Raw genomic sequence first — 10,588 nt, forward strand, 5'->3', positions numbered from 1 at the left:
GCTCTGAGATATGACTCTCTAACCCCAAAGTCGATGCTTTCATTCACTTATGCCCTACATACAAAGATATTTGAATTGAAATTACATTTTTTAAAGTTTTGAATTTTCTCGGATTGCCCCTGTTCTTTAGCTACAAAAATTGCAAATAGGAAAACTAAAAATTAATTTTTTCCTACTGAATTCTGAAAGTCTAAGTGATTCTATAACAATAGGGTTAGCTTCAGGAAGTGAAATTGTTAAAGGCTTGTTTGGAAAAAATATGAAAATTCAGTCGCACTTCCCTAAGAATTAGAGATCAGAATCACAGTTTGCCATGCTGAGAATCTTTTGGCCAAGCTTTGCTCAAATGCAAGGTAACTTATCTTTAAGCAGCTGTGAATACACTGGGATTATCATTTGTGCTGAATTTCATGGCAGTTTAAATGGAATTTCAGCACTTAGGAAAAGAAAGTCATTGACAAGATTTATCAGAATATATTTCTCTTTACATATCATAAATAAATTTCCCATCATCTTCAGTCTCATAGCCAGAAGAATGCCATTCTGAATTTGGTTTTGATTTGGATGTGGATGCTAATTTTCTGTATAAAAATTAGTAACTAGTGGTACTTTGTATTACTCAACATATTTGCTTCCCACAAATTTACTTCCAACAATTCTCTGGTGCTATATAGTAAAAGAAATAGAAATTCTCAAACAAACTGATGACTACCTCTTGATAACCCCTATTTTTTAATTAGAGGTTGAGATATGATTAATGAAAATGGCAGTTTGTTTCTTTTACTAAAATTTAATAGCTGGAACTAATGGTAATTTCAGGTCCCTGCTGCTGTTTTGGCTACTGGAACACATCAGAAATAGAAAAACTCCAAAAAGTCAGCTTTGTAAGACATCTTTATTGTGGGAATCAGAAGCTACTTTTCAAAAGCATACATTATGAATACTCTTCTTTTTATGTATGTGACAGTGGGAGTTATTTAATTGTTGGATTAAAAAACACTTCATGTAGACCTACAATTTTATGCTTCTTATTCACTGGTTGTGTTAGATAGTTTGGAATCCACCGAAAAGAGTGATATGGATTTTATTTTATTTATTTTATTTTATTTTATTTTATTTTATTTTATTTTATTTTATTTTGTTTTTTGGAACGGAATCTCGCTCTGTCACCCAAGCTGGAGTGCAGTGGCTTGATCTCCGCTCACTGCAAGCTCCGCCTCCTGGGTTCACGCCATTCTCCTGCCTCAGCCTCCGGAGTAGCTGGGACTACAGGCGCCCGCCACCATGCCCGGCTAATATTTTTTTTTGTATTTTTAGTAGAGACGTGGTTTCGCCATTTTAGCCAGGATGGTCTCGATCTCCTGACCTCGTGATCCGCCCGCCTTGGCCTCCCAAAGTGCTGGGATTACAGGCATGAGCCACCGTATAGATTGTATTTTATATTGTTCTTTCCACAAGGAGACTTCTGTCTTCTTAAATATTATTATTACAATTAGTTAAAATAATTTTCTGTCAGCACTCATTATTTCATAATCCTATAATTATCAAGTTTTAACCAACTGTATTTTCACAGATTTTCTGATTGTAAATTGTTGCCAGCATAGCATATAATGCTTTTGAAGAATACTTATTTATCATATCATGTTCTAACATCCTCTTTTGGAACTGGCATTAGTTATTACTCATTTTTTTTTTGGAATGACAGTAAGGACTCAATAATCTGTCTCTAATGGACATCTCAGACAAACAATTTGATTGAACAAGATATATGGCATAGGGACTATAAGATATGGCTTGGGAGCCATAGTGACTTGTGAAGCGTTCTACAGGTGGCAAACCAGAATTTACTAGAGTTTATTTGGGTAATTTATACACATACCTCCCCATTGCTCCTTGGCTCTCCCAGTTGATATTAATTATTTCATCTTCTGCATTCACAGCATTCAGGGCATATTTGACATCTGAAGACTCATTGCGGCTTCAGATCAGGCCCTATTACTTGACTTTGGTAGACATTTTGCTGAAGGTAGAAATTAGTCTAAATTGAGATAAAACACCAATGGTTAAAATGTATATCATTAATTTTCATTTCATTAAATAATTTTATTTTAACAGAAACCTCCAAGATATGAGAAAGGATTGTCTGGTATTTAAATTTCAGTCACTGTACTAAGGCATTAGCAAGAGAGAGATTAATAATAATAACTTCTACTTATTTGTATTATACATTGCCCCCTCACCATTTTCCTAATTATAAAATATTACTTCTGGGAAAAATAATCTGTAATATAAATTTTAAAAGTATTTGAAATAGAATTCAATAAATATTTTACTGTGGATTCTGTTTGCCATTTCAGCTTGAGATTGCATCCTAAAAGGCGTTTGTTGAAATGTCAATGTTGTACAACTTGGTCTATGAACTTAATAATATAAAGCTTTATTGTATTGACAATGCCATTCCAACCTATTTACAGTTTCTTGTAGCTTATGTGTTTTTTATTAAATAATTAGCCTTTTTAAGAAGTTTGCATTATTAGTTTCTAAAGTATGGTTTAGTGATGTCCCTTCATTATTGTTTCTTTAAGCTTGCATATAACACATGGAAATGGATTGGGTGCATTATTTATGCTAGATGGGGAACAGTTAAGGGAAACATTCATAAATATCAAACAGGGGAAAGTAAGAAGAATGTGAAAACTCTCTGAGCAATCCAACCGTTGATTAGCTATAGAAGTCCAGCTCCTCTTCTGACTTTCAAAGCTTTGATAGGTCAGGGAGGACAGCAGGCTCCGCGATTAAGGTCATATAAGTGCACCTGCAAATTTTAAGGTACACGTGCTGTTGACAAATATATCTTCAAAGGTAGGAATATGGCTCTGAATCAGTATGCACTTACATGAAATAAAAGTACCAGGTTCAAATTGTGATTTTTTAATATTTAATGGTATTTGTATTTAAGAAATAACTATTGAGCACCTACTGTGCATAGGATAATTAAGGGAGAAACAAAAAAAAATCAATTTCAGCCAATTTATTTTGCTTATAGTAGAAACATAAATTTAAGACTATGAATAGGTTCAATTTACTCAAATATGCAAGACACAATTCTTTGGCCAAGGCAATCTCCAGAGAAGTCCTTTTTTGTTTTAATATTTGATTATTTTTGCTTGATGTCTAAATTTTATCATAAAAAATATTAGCAAAATTGGAAACTCTACACTTCCCACTTTATTCAAACATTTTTAAATTTATTCTGAACATTAAAATGATATTTGTAAGCATTGTCTAATCTGATAATCTGTCAACAATTATTTAATAAAGAAAATTATTTAATATAAATTCCTCACAAAATGTTTCCAATATAAAATATTCGGAAACAATTTATTCATGGTTAAACTTTCTCATATTTCTAAATAAAAATGAACTGGCCGGGCGCGGTGGCTCACGCCTGTAATCCCAGCTCTTTGGGAGGCCGAGACGGGCGGATCACGAGGTCAGGAGATCGAGGCCTTCCTGCCTAACACGGTGAAACCCCGTCTCTACTAAAAATACAAAAAAATTAGCCAGGCCTGGCGGCTTGCGCCTGTAGTCCCAGCTACTCCGGAGGCTGAGGCAGGAGAATGGCGTGAACCCGGGAGGCGGAGCTTGCAGTGAGCCGAGATCGCGCCACGGCACTCCAGCCTGGGCGATAGAGCGAGACTCCGTCTCAAAAAAAAAACAAAAAACAAAACAAAAAACTGAACTAATATTATTTGAATGCAATTGACACCATATCTCCTTATTTGCTTTTAAAGTGGTATATGAATAATTATTTTACAAAGCGGGGTATATGAACAATTCTCAGGAAGCTCAGGAAATGGTAGGTTTGCAGTTTCCTCTTCTTGCTTCCTTACTCACGCTTGACTGAAAGTGAACTTTCAGGCTTTTAATTATCCTACGGCTTGAATTAAACCAGTGATAAATAGTTATTTAATTTGCTGTCAGCTTTAACTAACCTGAAGTGTGACAAAGCAATACAGAATTATCTATAGTAGCACCACTAAATCAGAGTAGCTGCTATTTAAAATCATGATGCTTTTTTATTGTACTACAGATGACTTACATTTAAGTAGCAAACTATTTTCAATATTTGGCACAAATAAGATGATAATATTTATATATCGAATACTGTTAGTTGTCCAGGAAGCATATATTCATTAATTTATTACTTCATGTAGTAAATAATTAATGAATCCTTCCCTTCATGGGCGGCTGATGCCATAGCATATAAAAAATGATAGTGGCTTGTATTAATCTGGAAAACTGATGGGAAGTGATTGGGTTCCAGATGTATTTTGAAAGTATAGGTGTTAGAATTCATGGTTTAGTTATTGGGTATAAAAGACATAGAAACATCAAGGATGACATCAAGATTTTTGCCCTAAGCAACTTAAAATAATATAATTGTCACTATCAAAGATGAGGAAGGTTGTGAAATGAACAGGTTTGGGGAGCTTATCAGGAATTCAATTGATCTAAAATAGTCATTACCACAACATATAATATGAAGTAATTTATTATTGTTTCTATTACATTTGAAAATTATTTTTAATGAAAATATGCTTAGTAGTCATTTAAATATATTACATTTGCAGTTTCTAAGAATTGAAAGAGCAAAGAAAATGTAGTTTTAAGGTGAATGGATATATATTGTTTACAATACTGAGCCTGTAAAAATGGAAAATGCTTGCAAACATAAAAATCTAACACTAAAATTACTGTTATAAAAGATGACAATAACTTAGACATAAAACATTTTATTTTTTCTAGTTTGACGAGTTTGAAATTAGCATTGCTTATAAAACCCCATATCTTCTGTATGAAATTTTATGAATACAATAATAGGAAAGGTGAAACTAACCTTGGCTACTAAGAGAGCAGTTTACATTTCTAAAGTTGTCATAGCTTCGCGTCTGACTTTTAGAATGTAGCTTGTGCTACTTTCAATGTATTTTTCTCGTTTCTTTGTTTACTGATAACATGGTCATTTTGAAAGAAACTCATTTGCTTCTCTGGTATCTCGGTATTTGTATAATATTCGTCAACTGCTTATGTCCTCTTTTCTTATTTTTATTTCCTATCCATATCTCACTACATTTTTGGTCCCTTAAGCTATTACATTTTTTCTGTACTCCTTGTTGGTTAATAATTCACCATTTGCATTTGTCCTGCTTCCGCTTTCAGAACAAGACAAAGATATGAAGACATTTCTGAATTTTCAAAAACTGCCAAGAGGTAATGATTACAGCATGCAGATTTACATAATTTAAAATATATAATAATTATAAATTATTAGGAGAATTCACTGTAACTTTTCATATTAATAGAATTATAATTATATAGTTATTTATTTGTCCAGGCTAAAATTCGTTGAAATACACAAAATAGCAGTCAGAAATTCAAGTGCTCTTGATGCAGGAGTTTTTGTTCCTTGGTTCAGCTAAAATCTCGGTTCTTGTCTCAGGACCAGCAAATGTTAGTCACATGGACACACTGAAGGGTGAGGAGGATGGCTTTACTGTATGAAAAGAAAGCTCTCAGCAAACGAAGAGGGGTCCTGGCAACAGGCTCCCACATCACAGACTGAATACCAGGCCACCACACAGGAGCTGAAGAGGCCAGGCTCATGCCCTTGCACAAGGCGCAAATTCCTGGTGGCTCCACCCCATTCTCCCAGTGCATGTGGGCCTCCAATCAGCATGCCCAGACAAGGCCCTGGGCAAGTTCCCTTACCTGCACAAAAACATGAAACATAAACACTTGTGGGGCGGGTCGGAGATTCTTCAGGGACCCTTCCTTATCTGCTTCCTGCATCTATCACTCTTGAGGGCAATAGGAAATGAACACGGACATTTGAGCATGTATATCGGCTGTGCATATAAACAAACATACTGATTAGTGGAACAGAATAGAAAGCCTAGAAATAGATTCAAACACATATGGGCAATTAATTTTTCACAAGGACACCAAGAAGACACAATGGGCAAAGAATAGTCTTATAAATGGTGCTGGTAAAACTGGATTTTTGAATGAAAGAGACTAAAAATAGACTCATATCTTACACTTTATACAAAATCAACTCCTAATAGATAAAAATACCTAAACATAAGAACTGGAACCATAAAACTACTAGAAAAATACATTGGGCAAAAGCTTCTTGACATAGACCTTAGCAACGATATCCTGGATGTCACAGCAAAAGCTCAAGCTACAAAAGTGGAGATACTGACATGGGACTACATCATACTAAAAAGCTTCTGCATAGTCACAAAACAATCAACAAAATAAAAAGTAACCTTGGGACTGAGAAAAAAATTGCAAACTGTATATCTGATAAGGGGTTAATATCCAAAATTTATAAGGAAATAGTACAACTCAATAGCAAGAAAAATATAACCCAATTAAAAGATGGACAAAGGAGCTAAATAGACATTTCTCCAAAGATGACATAAAAATTTTCAAGTATATGAAAAAGTGTTCAACATTATTAATCATCAGGGAAATTATGAGATATAACTTCACACCCGTTAGGATATATATTATCAAAAAGAAAAGAGATAGTAAGTGTTGGCAAGGGTGTGGAGAAAAGGGAATCTTTTACAGTGTTTGTGGGCATGTGGAATGGTATAGCCATTATGCAAATTGTGTGGATTTTTCTAAACAAATTAAAAATAGAATTACTGCATGACACAGCAATCTCTCTTCTGGGCATATACCCAAAGGAAATAAAATCATCACCTTGTAAGTCGATTTGCACTCTCATGTTAATTGCAGCATAATTCACAATAGCCAAGATATTGAAACAACGTAAGTGTCCATCAACAGACAAATGGATAAAGAAACTGTCATACATATATACAGTGGAATATTATTCAGCCTTAAAATGGAAGAAGATCCTGCCGTTTATCACAACATGGATGGAGCTGGAGGACATTATGCTAAGTGAAATAAGCAAGATGCAAAAAGAAAAATATTGCATAAACTCATTTATATGTGGAATTAAAAAAAAAGAAGGTCTCATATACAGAAATACAGAGTAAAACAGTGGTTACCACGGTCAAGGGAGAGGAAGGTAGGCATAGAGAAATATAGGTCAAAGGATACAAAGTAGCAGATATGTACAAGTCTAAAAGTCGAATGTATAACATTAGAACTGTAGTTAATACTGCATTGTATTTAGAATTTTTGCTGAATTAGTACATTGTAACTACACTTCTCCCTAGGATATAAATGGGTAACTATGTAAGATGATGGTTATTTTCATTTGTTTCACAATAATAACAAATTTACTAAATATATTTATCTCATAACTCATGTTTTATGCCTTAGCTATACAGAATAAAATTGATTTTTAAAATTTACCACCTGTTTTAAGAGATAAAGAAAATTCAACCTATCTCTTTGATGATTTCATTTAGCATTAATATATAAAAATTAAACATGTAAAACAGGAAAAATATAATTTTTAATGCAAAAATGCAGAAGTCTTAAATCAGAAAAATTTGATTTATAAGCTGTATTATTAATTAGTGTCATTTAAAATTATATTTAGGAGCTTGGGGGCATAAGGTCATCAAGCAGTCAAACCATTGTATCTTATCTTATTCCTACATCCCCTTCTATTTCCAATGATTCAAAAATCTGTCTTCTAATAAATTCGCTGTATCTAATTGCAGGCCTGCTGGGTACTTCCCTGTAAACTTCTTCCATAACTCTATACTGAAGATTAACCTCTTAAATATGGCAAAGAAAGTCCTCATGATGACCCCACTCTGTGCCTTGCTATTTCACTTGCCAAAATCCTGAGCCACACATGCTTCTCCACATACATAGTATGGTCACACACCTCTTCCTTGTCTATGCTCAGAATTCATGGAAGCCACTATCCAGGATGGGTTATTAATGTTCTTCCTACAAACTCCTATAAATGTCTCCAACTTATAAAAGCATTACTTTATAAGAGACATTCTCTAAGGGCTTTATGTACATAAAGTCATTTAATTCTCACAATATCTGTGCATGGTAGGAAATATTATTTCATTTATATATGAACTCTGAGGCAGATAAGTTTGGCAAAAGCCATTAGTCTTCTAAGTGGTAACACTGGATTAAATTTTCAGAAAGCTTGGAGTCAGGATCTGTGCACCTAAACACTGCACTGCAGAGGACCTGTGTATACTGCTGTCGTGCCATGAACCCTATTACATTATAATTATTTATTCATTGTTTTTTGCCTCTGTCAGTGTCTTGAGGGCAATGGCTGATCTTAGTTTTGTGCCAGTAAGTCCCTATAATAGTAGTTACTTCACAATCAGTGCAATATAAATGTTTGTTAAGCTAAATTTCAAACAAATGTTAATTATCTCTTGTCTTTTGTGCAGTGCCTGGCACATACAGATGCTCAATTTTTGAAGGTATGAAGGAAGAGATAAAATATAAAAATAAGGAAGAGGAAAAAATAAAAGAAAAAAAGGGACTTATTCTTAGTGGGTGGAGGAAATATAATTAAAAGCAAAATCTTCTCCCAACCCAGAAATTCTCTCCCTTAAGGTGGCAGAGAAAGAAAACATCTTTTATTATTGAATACGCATAAAACCAGATGTAACATGCATTACAGGCAATCCATTAAGAGACAATAAAGACAGAAAGAATTCTCACCCTTTTAAACAGCAAAGCAGTTACAATCCATTACATACACATTTTCAAAATAAACAATAACTAGTCATCAAGAGGACTTGACAGCACCATTTGTCACACAAGGTATATTCTAACTTCACCTGTTAATAGGCATCACTGCCTATGATAACTCATTGGCTTTATCCAGAGTAAAAGCAAACTTCCCATATCTTTATGATAGGAGGTAGTTTTGCAGCTTGGAGCAAAAGATCCAAGGATGTTAGGCTTCTACCATCCCAGAGAAATTGACAGATAGAGGTGCTATCTTCTTTGATGTTTACATTTCACAAACATGGTACCCAGGTTCTAAAGAAAGATATTCTTAGGTCATAGAGCTGGCAAAATGCCAGTCTGGTCTTCACAAGGATTTACATACATTTCAAAGACAGGAGAATGTACTCACAGTTATTCTAGAGTAAATGCTCAGAGACAAAGGAGGGAAGGGAAATCTCTCTTCAAAAGGTAGAATTAAGCCTCTAGTTTTAATTTGTATTTGTCCTTATAAGTAGAGTGAACAGATAACATGTCAAAGGGAGCGTGTTATATCCAGAACATCAAAATGCGCCAGGACTTGCTTACAAGAGTTTTCCTTGGAAGAAACATTCAGCCTCTGTGGGGCTTCATTTTCATCTGTAAAATAGTGAGTTGCACTGGATATTTTGTAAGGTCACTTTGGGACTTATTGCTCTATTTCAAAACAATGAAAAAACTGAGTGTCCAGTGAGGATGACAGTGTTGTTAATTTCCATGTCCATACTTGTTTGAACTTTAATTACTCTGATCTCTCTAACATGCAATCATGACATTTGTTGAACAGCCGTAGACCTCTAAACCATAAGAAAATGAGAATCACAGGGTTTCTAGTATGCACTTAACACATATCTTTAAAAAGCTTGCCAACCTGAGTGACTGTGTATTTAAAAGAAGGATCTCACTTTTATAATACAGAATATTGTAACAACAGATAATGGACAATGAAAGAAGATTTATACATACACACACACACACACACACACACACATATATATCTTTAAGGTGTAAGGCTAGAACAGTGGCCTTGCATTTACTGCCACTATCAGAATTATACAGATTTACAAATATTATTTTCTTGGTCTACAGGCATGCAGCAAGTGCCATGGTAATATTTCTTCTATTTTTTTTTTCCTATAGGAAAAGGTGGGCGCCAAAAATAAAAAATAAGTTTGTTTCTTTCCTCTTTATCTGAGAAAAGTTTTCTTATACATTTTACTTCATAAATCCTGGTAGCAAATGTAAGTGAAAACATTTAACATTTCTGCTAAATACATGTTTACAGAAAAATTAAAAAGAACACTATCGTTTACAAAATAAATATCCCTGAGGGGGGAAAAATGTTTTGATCGCCTGGGCCCCTAGGTGCTTGGAAGTCTTTTCTTCTAAACCTAATTCCCAAATGTGTAAAGAGTATTCTAAAGAACTAACAGATATGAAACTCTGTGCATAGTTAATCTATACACTGCAAAGAGCATCCTACAAGCAATACATTATTTGTGCATTGTATTTATATGTGTGTGTGTGTGTGTGTGTGTGTTTCCATGCTATAAACACCCATAAGTTAACCTTAGGGCAGAAGAGGCTACTCCATCCATTTAGAAGTGCTTTAAAAACTCAAAAAAATTTAAATATATGATCCTACTCATTTCTTTATGTGAGTAAATGAGAAATGATGGTAATGATTGAAATATAGAATCTTTCTTTGAAAAATTGTTTTGAACCATTTCCCAAAAAAATGGCCACAATGTTTTTATTGCACCTTTAATATATGATGATTAAAAAAACAAAAAAGCTTTGTTTCTCATTTAGCACACCCAAGCTCTTCTGCTTCTGTATGAAC

General features: G+C 34.0%; 1 annotated feature.

Annotated features, from left to right (window-relative positions):
* Positions 5,002-6,201: an enhancer, noted in NCBI's record as "MED14-independent group 3 enhancer chr5:84615800-84616999 (GRCh37/hg19 assembly coordinates)". NCBI's record gives its function as "activates an origin of replication core promoter dependent on BRD2, BRD4, P300/CBP and CDK7 cofactors, and independent of MED14, by STARR-seq in HCT116 cells {active_cell/tissue: HCT116}" and the evidence as "EXISTENCE:reporter gene assay evidence [ECO:0000049][PMID:35650434]".

Source organism: Homo sapiens, chromosome 5 (assembly GCF_000001405.40).
Source record: "Homo sapiens chromosome 5, GRCh38.p14 Primary Assembly".
Taxonomy (NCBI): domain Eukaryota; kingdom Metazoa; phylum Chordata; class Mammalia; order Primates; family Hominidae; genus Homo; species Homo sapiens.